At 38.6% G+C, this 18,588-nt stretch overlaps 2 protein-coding genes across 10 annotated transcripts in view, besides 2 other annotated features; one reads left to right on the top strand and one right to left on the bottom strand.

Moving 5' to 3' along the window:
* Window positions 37-196: a silencer, noted in NCBI's record as "silent region_1635". NCBI's record gives its function as "represses an Ori minimal core promoter by ATAC-STARR-seq in GM12878 lymphoblastoid cells {active_cell/tissue: GM12878}" and the evidence as "EXISTENCE:reporter gene assay evidence [ECO:0000049][PMID:35858748]".
* The window catches only part of RGL1 (ral guanine nucleotide dissociation stimulator like 1), a 292,424-nt gene continuing 274,074 nt past the window's right edge, over window positions 239-18,588 (top strand). For all 9 annotated transcript variants that reach the window (XM_011509339.4, XM_047415682.1, NM_001297669.3 and 6 more), the window contains exon 1: window positions 239-631. The gene's annotated coding sequence lies outside the window, so the exon portion shown is untranslated. The remainder of the gene's footprint in view (window positions 632-18,588) is intronic.
* Window positions 9,884-10,178: a silencer, noted in NCBI's record as "tiled region #5056; HepG2 Repressive non-DNase unmatched - State 23:Low". NCBI's record gives its function as "represses a minimal TATA promoter and a strong SV40 promoter by Sharpr-MPRA in HepG2 cells {active_cell/tissue: HepG2}" and the evidence as "EXISTENCE:reporter gene assay evidence [ECO:0000049][PMID:27701403]".
* APOBEC4 (apolipoprotein B mRNA editing enzyme catalytic polypeptide like 4) lies at window positions 10,405-17,446 on the bottom strand. The gene is made up of 2 exons (NM_203454.3): window positions 17,202-17,446; window positions 10,405-12,941 (listed from the first exon to the last, which is right to left on the bottom strand). The coding sequence occupies exon 2, from the start codon at window positions 12,909-12,911 to the stop codon at window positions 11,808-11,810; it is 1,104 nt and encodes a 367-aa protein (NP_982279.1). The 5' UTR covers window positions 12,912-12,941; window positions 17,202-17,446; the 3' UTR covers window positions 10,405-11,807.

Here is an 18,588-nt window from a genome sequence, read left to right on the forward strand (position 1 = left end):
CCTGCTCTTCCACGGAGAGCGCGCGCGAGGGAAGGAGCGCGCAGGACACAGCGCGCAGGCGCGGGCTCTCCGCAGGCAAGGGGCGGGGCTGGGCGAAGGAGGCGGGGGCGAGAGGGAGGGCCAAAAGCTGGACCGCGGGCAGAGGTAAGAAGCGATTGGTCGTCCGATTGCGTCACGTGATTCTCGGTGGGGGGGTTCCCATAGAAACGCTTTTCTGCGGTCCAGTCTAGGGGGTCTCAGATTGGCGGGGATGGGCAGCAGCGGCAGGTGGCCTTGGCTTTTGCTGCAGCCGTCAACGACCTATCATCGGGGTCCTGCGTAAGGTCCGGCTGGCTGGGACTTGGCTGTGGGTGGGATGGACTGGCTGCCGGACCGAGTGCCCTGCAGTTGGTAGGAGTATGAGGCAGAGTGATGCACACCCGGGCGCCCAGCATCGTTCTAATTGCCGGAGACATTGCCTCAGACTGTGCGCTGCTAGAGGCTGCGTTCCTGAGCAGGAAGCCCGTTTCCTGGGATTGGAACTACCCTTCTTGGCCAGCGGGAAGTCCCCAAGGACGGAGTCGAAAGGTCAAATCTTATCTGTCAGTGCTGTGTGACAGCATCGCAACGGGATCTGCAGAACCTGAACTCGGTATCAAATCTATTGGGAGGGAGGGGAACGTGTCCGGGCAGGCGCTGGGGTCGGGTGGCAAAACTGGGGTGAATTTGTAGAATTTGGGAAAGGGTCATTGACATCTTAAAATAGGTGGTCGTTTGGAGCAAGAATGCTCGAAAGGGGTGAGGGTAGGTTAGGCTCTCTAGTGCTGGGGGAAAACAAAATGTGGAAGGATTGGTGGAAACCAGACCTTTAAGATTTATATTATGATTTGAGATTTATATGATTCCATCTAGGCCAGATTTAAAAAAATATTTGACATCCCCATTTCTGGAATGTAGGAGATAAAGGCACTAAGACGAAGGAAATGGTAGTTGTGCTGTGTGTATTACACTGAAGAACAAATATTTGCAGGATAAAATTAATTTGGACATTTGGCTGGACACTGCTCGGTATGGGTCCAGTTTAGTTGGACCTCGAGCAGAAGACTGGCTGTTGCCCTGTTGTGTACCACAATCTTTGGTTTCCAGTGCTGTGTTGAAAAGAGCACTAGGCTTAGAATCAGAAAACTCAGGCTTAAGTGTTGACTCTTCCACTCATAATGTTTGAACGAGACATGTCACTTAAAATTCTGTCTCAGATTCCTCATCACTGAAATGGAGCTAATAATGTGCACTTTACAAGATTGTTCTTAGGATTATATATCACGAAAGTGTTTCCAAGCTCTAAAATTCTACATAAATGTAAAATGCATGTTGCTTGTACCATTGGTTTTGGGACTAGTCTTATAAATTTCTTAATGATATATGGTGTTTTATCTCCTTCCTAGAAGAGATGGAAAGATTCTGAAGGGCAGAAACAGTTTTTCTTTTGTATCTTCCTTCCATATGACAAAAAGCTAAGCATGCAGAAGGGACTCGATACATGCTTGATGAATGAATGAAATGTGAAAGACCGTACAGTTTGAGAATCATACTGAGAATAATAAATCAGAAGAGGGAGAGAGATCTCAAAATTAAATATTTGTTGGATATATACATGTAAATACATATGTCCAGTCTTCTTTAAGTTCAAAAAAATACATATATAATGTGTGTATATTTATCTATGCAGTATATTATATATAAATAGAGAGTGGGAGAGAGACCTCGAGAATGGAATACATCCCTTTTTCTTGGGAAGAAGCAATGTGGTGTTTTTCTGTTCCCAATTAAACCACTCTTCTATAAGTATATCATTTAGGTGATAGAAGTAACATTGTTTAAATTAACATTCAAGTTATGAACACACACTGGTAAAAATTCTCTTAGGAATGCCTTAAGACAGCAAAGGAAAAATTTTTACCTGTTGGCAATATTTATTTTAAAAAGCCATATACCAAAGTATAAAATCATTACTATGGTGAATGGCGTTATATAACTTAGAATAAAGATTTTACAATTTTTTTTCAGTTTCAGTCTTTGCTAACTTTAGTAGATGCTAATCAGTATACTTTAGCTGTTAAAGGTGATTGTACTTTTTCTTCTTTTAAATCAAGATTTTTCTTTGAAGAGAAAATCGAACATTAGAGGCACTATTGACAGCAAATGGAAACAGGGATTCAAGAGCTAATATATCTCTTCTCTTACATTTCTATTCTTTTGTATTGCCTTATTTAGGAAATTTTTTATTTTCTTATTTGAGAACTATGAAAGAATCCCAGAGTAGAAATCAGCTTAAGGGAATAGTGAAAGAAATTTAAATAATCGATTGCTCAAGGGTATAATTATTTTGATTGCTCAGAATTTTGCTCTATATGTTTAATGTGTTAAATGTAATTAACTGCCAGCCAAATAATGCTTATTGCATTTAAGATGTGAAAAATGTCCTTTTCTAATGCAGTATTTTTTATTGTCTCACAATGATCTAAGTGCCTAGTACATAATAGGTACTCAACGTGTTTCTAGTCAATGATTTAATGATCTGACAAGTTAATTTTGGACGAACATTCAGAAATTGAGTATTTTTTAGTGGGCACATAAATTACTTCTCTACCTTATTAGGTAGTTAAATCTTTATAAAGCTTTAAGAGAAATTTTTGTGTGTATGTGGAGAAATCTGTCTTTAATTATCTTTTAATTAGAAAACTCATTATTTCACTTCCTTGCAAATTCTAAATTTTTAATGTTAATCATGATACTTAATTCATCTTAGGTAATATTATTTTCCTTATTTTAATTTTTCAAATGAGTGCTTACCCTGATATAAAAGATTTATAAGGTTTTAAGACATTTTACTTGTTGTGCAAATAACCTGGTTTGGTTCAATACTGAAGCAGGACCGAATCTGAATTTTCTCAAGGTTAATGCTGTATATGTAGTTCCTTATTTTCTGTGATGATGCAAACAGCCAAGGATCTTTTCAGTTAGAAGGGACTTTAGTAAGGCTATAATAGGTCTTTCTTTTCAGACATTTTAAACCAAGGATTCTAACATGTGCTTCTCTTCTCCAAACTTGCCACTAAATACTTAAACAACAAAGACATTGAATCCTGGCTGGGCGTGGTGGCTCATGCCTGTAATCCCAGCACTTTGGGAAGCCAAGACGGGCAGATCACTTGAGGTGAGGAGTTCAAGACCAGCCTAGCCAACATGGGGAAACCCTGTCTCTACTAAAAATACAAAAAATTAGCTGGGGGTGGTGGTGCACACCTGTAGTCCCAGTTACTTGGGAGGGTGAGGTGGGAGAATTGCTTGAACCTAGGAGGCGGAGATGGCAGTGAGCTGAGATCGTGCCATTGCACTCCAGCCTGGTTGACAGAGCAAGACACTTCATCTCAAAAAAAAAAAAAAAAGAAAAAAGACGTTGAATCCTGCAACGTGACATTATTTATTTTTATTATTTGAAATAGAAGTGCAAAATCAATGTTAATCAAATATGTAAAATGTATTATAAATATAAATAAGTGAATTTCAGTTCTGGTAAGGATGCTTTAATACCAGGGTTCTCTGGCAACATAATTACTGAAATATAAAAAGATGTTTAGCATGTTGTCCATAGACTATCTTATGATTTAATACTCCTATGAATATCTACATCAACTGGTTCTGTGTTAAACTTTAAAACATGAACCTTCAGAATTTCATTTTTTCTTTGTTTCAAGTTTTTCCTTTACATAATTTTATGATTACACATTAAAGTGGAATAGATAGGGTGAACTCTCTACTGAAACTTATCAACTAAAAACCTGTAAGCCAAAAAAAAAAAAATCAGGGAAAAAAATCTCTAAATACGTTGAATTTATTTGGGAATTAGAAAAGAGGATTATAACCTGAGATGCACAGCTGTGGCAAGCTACATATACATCAAAGAAGGGAGGATAAAGGGAAATGTTTTTCTTTTTTTCTTTTTTTTTTTGAGACAGAGTCTCACTCTGTCGCCAGGCTAGAGTGCAGTGGCACAATCTCAGCTCACTGCAACCTCCGACTCCCTGGTTCAAGCATTCTCCTGCGTCAGCCTCCGAAGTAGCTGGGATTACAGGCGCACACCACCATGCCCAGCTAATTTTTATATTTTTAGTAGAGACGGGGTTTCACCATGTTGGCCAGGATGGTCTTGATCTCCTGACCTTGTCTGCCCGCCTTGGGCTCCCGAAGTGCTGGGATTACAGGTGTGAGCCACTGTGCCTGGCCAAAGGGAAACTTTTATTTGGCAAAAGGAGAAGTTCACATAAACTGCTTGGAAACAGACATTGGTTTTGGATACTCAAAGTCAGAGTTGGCACCATTTTAGAGGAAGAGATGCTGTTACTGGGCAGGTATTGTTTTGAGAGCATTTTATCTGAATTGCTGCAGTCCTACAGAATTTCTTATTTTAGAAAGTCCTTGAGACAGGACTTCCAAAAATGTCTTTTATCTCGTCCATGCAATCATGAACCCTACTCCTTTGTGCTCTCCTGGCTCTAGTTTGTGTTTGACAAACAGTGATTTCATCCTGGTATCTGCAACTTTCATAAACCTTTATTTATATATTAGTACTTCAAAGATTAAAAAAAATTGTAAATCTCTTGCCTCAAGAAAAAGATTTAGTGCCAAAGAATAAGTCTTATTTTTAAAATATTGTGAATGAGACTTGTTTCATTTGATTTTTTTAATGGCTTATGATGATATAAAATGAAAGCTATGGACTTTAAAACATATTTATCCTGTATTCTTTCTTAGCACTGGTGTCTTTTATTAATGCTAACAGTCGTTTTAAGGTTGCATCTCTTATCACACTGTATAATATTTGAGGTAATGATAATTTACATCTTCTTTTCTAATATTTCTGTCACCTATTTTATCTTGTGTTTGCTAGAATTGTGAAAAGAGTGTTGAAAAATTGAGTGCTGGGCTCTTCTGCTTTGTTCCTATTTCAATTTCGTTGGTATTTCACCAGTTGACATTATATTGACTTTCGCTTTATGACTTTTAGAAATGACTGCTAAAATTATCAAATGCCTTTTATGGGGATCTAATGATAAAAATCATATAGTTTCTATCTTTGAATTTATGAGTGTAGTGAATATATATATTTTTCTACACTGAAACATTCCCACATTTCTAGAATAAACTCTATTTGGTTGTGAAATATTACCATTTTAATTACTTGCTGGATTTGATTAGTTTATATTTTGTTTATATGGTTTCAGAATTTTTTTTAAATAATTGCCACAAGATCTCACTCTGTTGCCTAGGCTGGAGGGCAGTGGTATGATCTTGGCTTACTGCAGCCTCGACCTCCCAGGCTCAAGCCATCCTCCCACCTCAGCCTACCAAGTAGCTGAGACCACAGGAGTACGCCACTACCCCTAGCTAATTTTTGTATTTTTTGTAGAGATGGGGTTTTGCTCTATTGCCCAGGCTGGTCTTGAACTCCTGAGCACAAGCAATCTGCCAGCCTCGGCCTCTCACAGTGCTAGGATTATAGGTGTGAGGCACTGTGTGCTGCCTTTACAAACTTTGTTTTGTAGATACAGTGTCTCCCTATGTTGCCCAGGCTGGTCTTCAACTCCTGGCCTCAAGCGATTCTCCCTCCTTGGTCTCCCACATGATGAGATTACAGGCATGAGCCCCCCCCACCATACCTGGCCATAATTTCAGTTTTTAAGTAAGATTGGTCCATAGTTTTATTTATTTGTGCTATCTTTATCCAGTTTTGATATTAGTGTTAGTCTAACTTTGTAAATGAATTTAGATTTCCACCTTTTTTTCTATGCTCTGCAATAGTTTAAATGATGAAAAATTATCATGCTATTTGGTTTTTGAAAGTTAGAGTGTGCTGCAAAACCACCTGGGCTTGCTGATACTTTTAGAGGTAGATCTTTGATTATTCTTTTCTTCTATGATTATTGATTTGTTTGATTGTCTTTCTCTTCTTGAATCAATTTTAGAATTTATGGTTTTTAGAAAATCATGCATCTCATCTACATTGCCAATTTATTGGCAAGAAGTTGCACAAAATATTTTCTTATAATTATTTTAGTATCTTCCATGACCATGGACGTTTTTCTTTTCTCATTACCACTATTAACTCTTTAAGCAAAACATTGAAATCAACTTTTTCTTCCCCAACCTGATTATCACAAATTCTAGTAGCATATCTTAACTTCTTAAAGAAAATAAGAAGTCAACTATCTAAGACTCATAGGTTTGATAAAATTTGAAAGATCCTGCAATCCTTATAATTTCCTACTGTTTGTCCTTATCCTGTTCATATTTTATTAGTAATAGCAACCACTTAATACGTTTATTGTGTGTCAGACACTTGGTAAATAAACCCTTTACTTGCATTATTTAATTCCCAGAGTAGCTCTATAGCCTAGAAATTAGTGTTCCCATTTTATGAATGAGTAAACTAAAGCTCAGAGAGGTTATATAATTTGGCCAATGATATTCAATCAGCAAGTGGCAGAATGATGTGGGAACCGAGTATGTCAGATTCTGGGGTTTGTGCATTTAATCACCACTCTCTACTTTCGGTATCTTTTTCATTATTCCAAATTATAATACTTACTTTTTTCTAAAAATTAGTATATAACCAAGTATCAAAGGCCTAAATAAACCCATATAACAGCTTGAAATGCGCTGTAAATTATGAACCTAAAAAAACCTTGTTATTGTAATGATTTTTTAAAGGATATTTGTTTTTTAGATATTTCTGTGAACTTTCCTTACCTTATCTCTGTATTTTGAGACTAGACATAGAGCCTGATTTCTAATATTTAGTCTAACAGAAAAGATGTCACTTTTTTTGTATTTAGAGAGACCAGTAGGTGTCAACTAGTAATTCAATTTTTAAAAAAGATTATGATAAAATAGACATAATAAAGTCACTATCTTAACCATTTTGAAGTGTACAATTAAGTAGTACTAAGCACATTGTTGTACAACTATTACCAACATCCATCTCCAGACCTCTTTTCATCTTACAAAATTAACTCTGTACCCATTAAACAATAACTCCCTGTTCCCTGCTCCCCAGCCCCTGGCAACCACCATTTTCTACTTACCACATGTAAGTGGAATCATGTGGTGTTTGCCTATTTTTGACTGGTTTATTTAACTTGGCATAATGTCCTCAGGGTTCATCCATGCTGTGGCAGGTGAATGGATTTCCTTCCTTTTTAAAGCCGAATAATATTCCATTGTATGTATATACCACATTGTGGGTATCCATTCATCTGTCAATGGACATTTGGTTTGGTTCTACCTTTTGGCTATTGTGAATAATACTGCTATAAACATGGGTGTAGAACTATCTCTTTGAGGTCCTGTTTTTTTATTTATTTATTTATTTATTTATTTATTTATTTATTTATTTATTTTGAGACGGGGTCTCACTCTGTTGCCAGACTGGAGTGCAGTGGTGCAATCTCGGCTCACTGCAACCTCTGCTTCCTGGGTTCAAGTGATTCTCCTGCCTCAGCCTCCCAAGTAGCTGGGACTACAGGTGCATGCCACCATGCCTGGCTAACTTTTTGTATTTTTAGTAGAGAAGGGGTTTCACCATGTTAGCCAGGATGGTCTTGATCTCCTGACCTCGTGATCCGCCTACCTCGGCCTCCCAAAGTGCTGGGATTACAGGCGTGAGCCACCGCGCCCGGCCCGAGGTCCTGTTTTATAAAAAAAATTACTTTACTTTTTTAAATAGATTCAGGGTCTTGTTATGTTGCCCAGGCTGGTCTTTAACTCCTGGGCTAAAACGATACTCCCACCTCAGCCTCCCAAAGTGCTAGGATTACAGGCATGAACCACCGTGCTTGGCCAAGATCTTGATTTTATACCCAGAAGTGGAATTGCCTGATGATATATTAATTCTCTTTAATTTTTTGAGGAACGATTTGCACTTAATTTTAACTAAACAATGCAATAAAACAATGTTCTATTGCCTTGGGTCCCAGATTTAGTACATCCCTGAAAGTCAGGGACACCTAAGATAAGATAATCTTGGGATTTATGTTTGGCATGAGGTCCTGGGCGACAGGGGAGTGGGGGAGGGCCAAAGTTCTGGGATCTAGAACCTACTAAAGTTTTCCACCCTAGCCCACCCTGCCTACCTGGCTTCCATAGTTTAGAGGATGCCCATTGGTACTGTGGTTTGAGCAGAATGACAGAAAAGCTACAGGACAGGTCCTAAATAAATATGGATTCTTTCAGACTTTGTAGTGAATCTGCATTGTTATTATTTAGAGAAGCATTAAGGCATAATGATTAAGAACATGGATTCTGGAGCTTGACTTCTTGGGTTTAACGCTCAGCTCAGCCTTTTTTTACTACTTGGGCAGTTACTTAAATTATCTGTGCCACAATTTCCTTATATGTAAAGTAGTTATTATAATAATATCTACCTCATAGGATTATTGGGAGGATTAAATGAATTAATACATGTAAGTGCTTAGAAAAATACTTGACATATAGCTCTCACTCAATGTTAGTAATAATGATAATATTATTTTTTAGAAACAGGGTCTTGCTATGTTGCCCAGGCTGGAGTGTAGTGGTGTGATCATGGCTCGCTGCAGCCTCTACTTCCTGGGCTGAAGCAGTCCTCCTGCCTCAGCCTACCAAAGTACTGAGATTACAGGCAGTAGCCACCACGCCTGGCCGAATAATATTATTTTAAATTAGCATAGGTTATGATGTGGCTTTCCTTTTAAAATTTATTTTATTTTATTTTTTTAATTTTTAAATTTATTTATGTGGCTTTCCTTAAAAACCAATACGAAGAGTAAGATTCCATTCTGTGAGTTAAACTTTTTGGATTGCTTATACTATGAATAAAAAAGATGTAACGGCAGTTTAAAGAAATAGGATTTGCTGTCCGATCAGCAGGATTAGATTATAGCTTGATGAATTCTAATCTATTTAGTATTATATAAATTGGATTGTAGCTTGATGAAACATAGAAAACGGATTTCTAGTCACATAGAAAATCGATGCTATGACAGGAGCTGGTCATAGAGGTTTGTGTTGTCTCTTGTTGCCTAGACCCTCCCAAACATTGTCCAGGAATGAGATGCCTTTGTGCATACCCCATCCACCACTTCATTCTAAGCAGATGTCAGTCACCACTACTAAAGCAGAATCTGATAGCACTAAACATTTGAGTCACATAATGGACTCCTCTAATCCATAAGGCAACCTTATGATAATTTGGCTTGCTATGTAGCTTATCTACATGGAGAGGCTATGTAACCTGGATGACTTGAATATATGCTTGCATATCCAGTTATAAGTCTTACTAGAAATCAGTACATTAGTTTTTTGTCTTTACATGTCAATCTCAAGAGGTTTGTTAATCCAAACCTGCTTCTGATGAGTAAATCCATTCTCCCTGTACTTACTAAGTAGGTAGTTGAGCATATAAAGCTAAGACCCCCAAACCCTGGACCTTGGTAGATTCACCAAGATAATGTGTCCGTCTCTTCAGTCTCATTGTTTTCTTGGGATATATCCCAGTGCCTTTTCCAGATCATCATATTACTAGCTACCTTAATTTACTTCTATTTTCTTTATTTCCATTAGTTCTATATGTGTGGTGGCAGAGATATTCTTCCATATCACCATTGCCAGTTGGCTGAAGAGGGGTGGAGCAACCCAATTTCTCTCTCTCAATCCCCGGCCAGCCTGATATGACCAAGAATCACTGCGTAGTGAGCAAGGAAAGCTAATCACTGCACTGCAGGATCTCACTTTGTGGAACTATTGCTTTGCTATATGCCTTCTTATAGCAGACGGAGCTGAAAGGAACCTTAAAGATGAACTAGCCCACATTTCTTGTTTTACAGATGAGGAAACAGATTACTTGCCTTGGACAGTATATCTTTATGCTCTTCTAACAGTCTTTTGTCTAAGGTTGGCCTGGACTTACGACCTGTGAGTAATCTTCTTTGTAGCCCTAGTCTTATCGAACCAGTACAAAAGTTTAACTGCCAAAGGCACTTTCTTTCCTATAGTTCTGACAACTTCTCCTTTTGTTATATACCACTGATATCCAGGTTCAGTTCATCATCTATTTCAGACCATGTTTCTAATTGGATTCTCTGTAGCCTGGTTCATGTTGTAGTCTGCCATTTTCTGGCAACAAATTGGATCTATTTTAATAATGATCAGAGATGCTGGATTTGTCATGTTGGGATCTTTTTAACTCAGTATCCCAAATTGTGGACATAGGATTTCATGAAATAAAAATAAACCTCAACAGTACTTCTTTAAATAATACTCACTATATACCCAGAATAAAACTATATTCCAGTAATTCCATTAAAATTTGTATGCTAACAATAAAACTTTGTTTTAAAATTTTTATTCATGTTTATTTTAACCACAATACTAATTGCTATTCCTAAAATATGTTTTTCTTTCTCCTCCTCCCTTATGGAGTATTAAATGTTTTAATGTCATGGCAAACTCTTTTATTAGCTTAGGATTACTTTATATATATATATAAAGAAAAAAATTAATAGCAAGTTACGAGAAAATGTACATTTTTCTTGTAATGTATCTTTACATATTTCAAAGAGGCAAGTGGCAGCAAATGTGAAATAAGCATAAGCAAAGTGCTTTCATTTAAGTGCTTAGAGGATTAATCAAGGAGCACTTCCTAGAAGTGTGTTTTGAAGATTTTAAGAGAAGGTACAAATATTCACTGGTGACGAGGATGGAGTCAGAAAGAGGGAAGTAAAACACACATTATGCATTGGGAGCTGCATTAGAAAGGGGAATGGATGCTAACAAAAAGAAAAAACATCTCTTGCAGGATGGTGAAGCAGGCTTTCAGCTGGGATGGAGAAGGGATGCTGAGTTACAATCATTGGTGAAGTTATTGAGATGTCATTTCAGCCTTGCTACTCACATTTTGCTGGGTAATGTGCTAGATCCTAAGGGAAAAGCTAAAGAGAAGGGAGAGACAGTGCTTGACCTGTAGGTACTTATGATCTTGCTGATGAGACAAGGCAACAGGAAGTTAAAGGAGGATCCTTGAAAGCCAGTAAGAGGAACTTGGATTTTATACAGTATGTGATGACAGGAGCCATTGGAGGTTCTCATGTATCATCTTACCTCTATCATCTGCTCAGAAGGGAGAGGTCTGAGCTGGGGAAGATCAAACTGAGCAGGTGGCTAGGTTTTAATCTTTATAGCTATATGTAATCAGCAGAAGAGCTTTTTCCCACACAAAACTATTTTGAATCACTTTAGAAAAAAATGAGCTGCCTAAAATCTTCTGTCCATGATTAACAATTAATAGAAAATCACTGGTTTGCTCCTGCAAACAGCACTTAATGTCAGTAGCTTCAGGCTGTTTTTCAATTTTACAGTAAATTTTTTACCGAAACAAATTTAGGTAGCTATTTTGTCCATGGGCTTTTGTAGTGGAAAGATGATGTGAGTAAAATAGAATAATGAGATTCCTTTTCTGCATCAAAATATTAGCAAGCTGCTAATGGTTCCATTTTGATACTGCCACTTTCAAAATAAAGGAGAGAGATCAAGTTGCTTATGGAAACATTTTGGATTATGTTTAAAATAGTGTAACTTTATAATAGTTGATATGGTAAATAATTCAAGGTTTGCTTTTAGTGCATCAGTTTATCTCCATCTTGGCTCAGCCCTGAGAGAGAAAGTTTCCAGATTTTTATTGCCTATCTAATAAGTCCCTTGGTAATTGGTTTCATGCTGTAGGAATGTAGATTTTATTTCTTCCCTTTCTTCTTCTTCTTTTCATCTGCCTCCTTGCTACTTGCAAACTGTTCTGTGATTTCCACTATCTCCACTGACCTTCCAGTGGGAAGCCTTCCAAGGTCCTTGGTTTCCTGGAATGACATTTGAGGCATATTTAAGTGCCTTACGATATTCCTGGGTTTATTTGGGTTTTGGCCCATATGCATTGGTGGTAAGTCCCTGAGAGGCACTAGCACAAAAACAACAGGAGCCCTGAGGTCTGGAGGTAGGTTGGGTTGGAGTTGTCCACTCGGCATTTGAAAAAACTGTCCAGGAAAGGCATTGTTTAAGGGGTAGCTCTCTAAAGCCTCCTGAGCTTTTGTGTTTGGATTCCTTTTTGTCTGGAGAAGAACATCAGTGAAGTAAGGTTTTACGCCTGTTATGGCATTGATTTCATATGCGTTGTGCCTGTCAGCCAGTGCTCTCCCAGTTAAAATGGGCTGAAAAACATGTGATCCTGAGACACCACTTATAAAGCTGTGGAGAACAGAATGCCAGATCCCACCACTTATTGGACTCAAAACAACCCGCGGCCATAAGCTGGCCAGGCTCCGGAGAGCTTCGCGGTTCCATGCTGAGGCAGGAAAGTCCATCTCAGTATGATAGAGCTGAGAAAAATAAATACTAAGAGTGATGCCTGGATACGTAATCAGGAAATTATACATTTTGCTGATGCAGCAGTGGTTAGCTTCATTACAAGGGGAGTTGTTGGAATACAGAATGATATGCCTGATGCTGTCATTATTGTATATGGCTGAGTCAAGATAACCATTCATTTCAAAGAGCATTGATTCTGGATGGATATAATTCCCAGTGCAACTGCTAGCATGGCCCTTTTGCACCAGGCTACCAGAAGAAGTTTTTAGTTCATAAAATGTGAGGTGTTTTGTTTGAGGAAATGTTGTCCCATAAGGGAATCCAAAAATCTGACAAAATTCTGTGAGGGAAACTCTTGCTTCTTCACCTGTTCGAATATGGTAAGGACAATTAGAGCAATCGAGAGAGAAGCTTAGCCAGTAATATGGTTTTACTATTGTTCCATGATTTGCTAGGTACTCCTCATATATGGGCTCCATTGCTAGATTTACTGTCTTCTAGCTGCAAACCTAAACAAGGAAGAGAAATTACATATAAAACCAGCGCAGGAAAAACTGAAGACAGTGCATTAATTTATTAAACCATACTTTCTTTAAAGGAAGTAGCACAATAAAGATAGTGATATATGCATAGATTTAAAAGCTCAGGATTCATTATTCTTTATTGAGACTCCTAGAGCATGGGGAGGAAACAGAAGAGAAAGGCGTTCTTCAACTTTACCTGTTTCATAGATTCCAAGTCAGTAAAGCAAATGAGTTAACAATGCAAGTTCTAGAAACAGACTGTCTGGTTTTAAATTTGGGCTTGGCCAATTATCAGCTTGGTGGCCTTTGACAAGTTATTTAACATTTGGGAGCCACAGATTCCTTGTCTGTAAAATGAAGATATTAATAGTACTTACCTGATAAGATTGTCTTGAGCATTGAATAACAGAATGAATATAAAATGCTTCACTAATGTGCTTGTCACATAGTAAGGACTCAGTAAATATTAACTCTTAGTAGTAAAAGTACAAATCCTAGGGTTATCTAGATTATTCCTAATTATAAAAGTACAAAAAAGTGTTTTGCATTTTGTTCATGATCTTTCTTCTCAGAATATGTTAACATCTAATGTATTGTGCAGAACTATTCAGTGTGCTTGCATTTAACATCAACTTTCTTAAAATCACTGGAAATAATTTGGAGGTTTTTGGGTTTTTTTTGAGACTAGGATCATGGGATCTCTTTTGCTTAATGATAGAGACTTCTTAGGAAAGTGCCACTTGAGTATTCTTTGGATTGTGGACACTCATTCATTGACATGTAAGAGTTTTCTTTCCCGTGAGTGGGTCTTGTTAGAAGACTTTTGAAAAATTACTGTTACAGAAAGCAAATATGGTTCTTTAGAATATTTCAAATTAGTAGTTTCTGGGATGTTAAACTCAAAAAGCTGAGATCTTTAAGTAATGATTTTTTCCTTTAAAAAATATTCCTTCAGTTATCGTTGTTCCTATAATGCTCTAGGAGCTACCTATTTTGTTTGTTTTTGAGACAGTCTTGCTCTGTTGCTCAGATTGCAGTGCAGTGAGATGATCATGGCTCACTGTGGCCCCAACCTTCCGGGCTCAAGTGATCCTCCTGCCTCAGCCTCCCAAATAGCTGAGACCACAGGTATGTACCACCATGCCCAGATAATTTTTTTATTTTTTAGGAGGGATACAGTCTCCCTATGTTGCCCACACTGATCTCGAACTCCTGGGCTCAAGTGATCCTCCTACCTTGGCCTCCCAAAGTGCTGGGATTACAGGTGTGAACCACCATGTCCAGCCTTCCGTCACTATTAACATGTCTATTCCCTCCAGTCTTTTTGCTATATGTGTATGTTACATATAATATAAACAAAGTCATGTTTTATACCCTGCTTTTTCACTTAATATTGTGCCATGAGCATTTTCCCATGTTATTAAAAATAATATTCGGCCAGGCGTGGTGGCTCACGCCTATAATCCCAGCACTTTGGGAGGCCAGGGTGGGCGGATCATGAGGTCAGGAGATGGAGACAATCCTGGCTAACATGGTGAAACCCCGTCTCTACTAAAAATGTAAAAAATTAGCCAGGTGTGGTGGCATGCGCCTGTAGTCCCAGTTACTCGGGAGGCTGAGGCAGGAGAATAGCGTGAACCCAGGAGGCAGAGCTTGCAGTGAGCCAACATCCCACCACTGCACTCCAGCCTGGGTGACAGAGCGAGACTCTGTCTCAAAACGAAAAACAAAAAACACAATATTCATGGCTAATTAGTTTTTTATTATGTAACTGTAACATTCAGTTTCTTGCCTCTTTTAATTATTATAACACTTTGATAAATATTTCTGTGAGAAATTATCTATTGCATATATTATATAATATTTATTATAAAGAATCAGATTTTTTTTTTTTTTTAGAATAGATTACTAGAAATCATAGTATTAGGTCAAACATTGTCAAATCGCTTCCTAGGAAGGTGTACCAATCTTATCACATTCTCTTACAATGTTGTTTATCCCAATTTGAGAAGGGAGCATTGGTATTTTTTTGTTGCTATAATGTGTGCCTTTATTATTTCTAGTGAAGTTGAACACTTTTTGACATGCTTATTGGTCTGTGGTATTTATTCTTCTGTGAAATATATTTGATTTTTTACCTATTTTTTGCGTGAAGTTTTCCTTATTGGTTTGCAAGACATTTTTATGCATCAAGAATATTAAATCTGCCACATTTGCTGCTAATATTTTACCTGGTTTATACAGCCTTTTAATTATGCCAATGTTATTTTAATTGCACCAAATTTTACATTTTTATGTGGTCCAGTCTCTACTCCTGTGATTTTTTTTCTTATTGTATTTAGAAATGCCTTCCTCATCAAAGCATAATTAAGTATTCCCCATATTTTCTTCTAGTATTTATGGTTTCATTTTTTACATTTAACTTTGTCAGATAACAAAACTGATAAGGCAGAAAATTTAAATGAGGTAAACTGACCATTGCAACAGAATATATTTTTCACTTTTCAAAATCTCACTTATCATATCACAAGTATGAATACTTGTGCTAATAAATAAATTATGGCCTCTCATATGGAAGTGCTATGTTCACCTTCTGTCTTCCTCAGCCCACATCAGCTCATTCATTGCTGTATTTGATACAGCTTGATCTCTAGCCTGAAACCTGCAGAGTTCCTATGCTAATCCTATCCTGGGCAGAAAATATGTTAAAAGCCTCAATCCAGCTGTAGGTGGAATGTAGCTTTATTCATGTCACCATTATCTTAGTGGCTAATATCCTGCAGTAACTCTGGCACCACATACCCACCAGATTCTAGATTTCTCCTAGCCTCTGCTGTGTCATCTTAATCCATAGGATTGGACATTAGCTTTGTTTTTTCCTTAGTACTATATTTTCCTGATGTAACTGAATTCCTGCCTTGAGGCTTCCTAGACCTTGTCATAGCTTTCCTTCTAGAGAGCTGGATTTAACCCTTGGCAGTGGACGATCTCTTGGAACCTGACGCCATTTCCTGCTTACTCCCGAGCATTGTTTCCTCTCTGGACCTCCTCCTTGCTTAGCCTTCATCAGGCTGGATGGATCTCTCCATCAGAACTTGCCAAAACCAAGCCCAAACTTTCATGCTTTTTAATATTGTGCCCTTGATGTGGTCGACTTATGGGTGGTACACCGGACATCCAGGTTACTGCTCAGATTACAATTTCAACTCACCCATAGACAATTTACAGATTGATTTGGCTAAATGTTATGGAAACAGAACCAAAAGGCACTTTTCTGTCTTTATTACTATTTCTTAAGGTGATGTGTATGTGGAGTTAACTATATATAATGGTCCCATAATTACCCTTTTGGGAAACAAAAGTCTTTGTGTGTTTTTAGATAAAGGTAGCAAAATGGAAACTCCCTATTGCTTTTCTAAGCACGCCTTCCTTTGCACCCCCATCTTCTGTGGCTGTTTTAGCCAGAAATGATACATCATTACTGTCTTTAAGGAGATGGAGAGGACTGTGGCTTTAACACATAGTGGAGGGAGCTCTGTAGTCTCATTCTTGCTGACAACTTTTCAGTGTCAACCAACTATAGTTTCCTATTGGTGAAGTTTTCACTTTTTCAGAGTCTTTCTGGGCTTGTTCTTTGATCACCCTCATCTGAAGAGGAAGCAGGAAAGAACTGTTGCCCTCTTTGAACTCTTAGAGAATTCATGGTTTATTGTATCAATTTGTTATCGACCACAGATTATCTTGTTAACTTTTGGTATCTGTCATTTTATTCTCCCCAACCAGGTGGAAATGTACCCTGTTTAGGCCCAGGACCTACCTTAGCAACCTTGATTGGCTCACAAGCCAGGTTGCTTAAGACTTGTTTCCCCAGCAGCTGGTGTCCCTACTTCCTGCCTAGCCCTTTTCCTTTTGCTTTGTCTGTGCTTGGGAAATACATGTTATACTCTGTAGAGCAGATTTGCTGGCAGTAAGAACAGAGATGTGTAGAGCCCAGCGTGCTGGAGGGCTCTCTGCATCTGGCTGTGAGTGGCCCCTGGACTGGGACCGTGGGAGGACAGCTTTCCATAGTTTAACATAAATGAACCACACCATAAGGACAATCTGCTCTCATTTCACTCAACTAGGATTTAGTGAGTACTGTTAAAGCACAGTTTGCACTGGAGTAATTGGAGAATGGAGTTTGCCCTTCACAATCTGTGCACAATCTGTTAGCAGCTAAAAACAAATGTTAGCAGTTATAATTACCATCAATTTGTCTCCAGGCTTGGATCACATTCCAGGTGTTAGAAGAGATGGTCCATTTCCTTTTTTTTCTCCTTTAAGTCCCATGCCCTGTTTCAAGTAGCTTCAGAAGGCAATTGTGCTGTAAAGATTCACCTTGTAATGGGTTCAGGACTCTTTCACAGTTTGTGTCTATTCGTTCATTTGAACTTTGCTGTTCCAAGTTAGAAAGCCCTTGCTGAGGTGTGGCTACCTCTAAGAACACTGTTGATTGGGTGCCATGGTAACGTTTGCAAAGTAGCTACTGCTAGGATACAGCTCTGACACTTATTACTTTATTTGCATATCAAGCCACCTGTTCCAAAGATGAAAATATACAGGACTGCATATCCCAGTCTGGGTAAAAGGATAATAGCTGACTGTTGAAGAGAACATGTTGCAGTTTTTCTCCTGCTAGCTGAAGAATCAAGTTCTGAGGGCCTGCTCCTCAGCACCTTTCTCCTGGTCTAGAGTAGGTGCCAGGCCTGGCGGTTCTGTTGCCTGCGTGGGTGCCAGGGCTTCTCCTTGGGAGGCTTGCCCTCTGTGAGAGGGAGCAGAGAGTTGACTTCCTCCAAGAGGCCCATAGTCCCTGAAGGGGGTGTTTTTGATTCTGTCTAAACCTAGGCTATGTGTTAGCGGTTTCCCTCCTCTTAGAAATTGCCTGGAAGACTCTTGCTATTGGTATGTATGTGGTTCCCTCCAGTTTAAGACAAGATTTGTTCCAGGATCGGTTGTAGCCCCTTCTCTGTGGCTAACGGAAGAGCCACTTGTCCTTCTCCATTCTTTTCCTTAGTCTCCCTTGACCCCCACATCATCTCCTAGACACAAGGCACATTGATAGTCACAATTCACTGTCAATCACTCTGGATTATTCCCTCATTCCCCTTTCCCAGGCCACCTGAAGGAGTGAGTGGGGATTGCTATTGTGTACATTCCAGTAATAACTATTGGCTGTAAGCAGACATACTCTAAAAATAACTCAGGGATACTGAGCACCCAGAGGGCACCTTCTGTCTTCTCGAAGCTTCGCCACGCCTGTTTCCACTGTCAGACTTCCAGTCTGCACCACAGCACACATCCTTTCTCATCCAGAGTGCTCCTACTAGACGAGATGTTTTTGTCTCCTAAGGGCCTCAGGTGTATTCATGAACTCCTCAGCTGGTTATTTTCAGTTTCATCTTCCTTGGTGCTTGCTCTGGCACATGGTCACTGCTGCATCCTGTCCCTTCCCCACAGTTTGCCATGGGTCATCCCTTTTTTCTCATTGCTTGCATCTTCTAACTGAATGAACTTGTAAATATGGAACTGAAAGTCAATCCTCATAGCTCATCTTTTATTTAATCCTAATAAATGACAATCTATTGCAAACATT

Source organism: Homo sapiens, chromosome 1 (assembly GCF_000001405.40).
Source record: "Homo sapiens chromosome 1, GRCh38.p14 Primary Assembly".
NCBI lineage: Eukaryota > Metazoa > Chordata > Mammalia > Primates > Hominidae > Homo > Homo sapiens.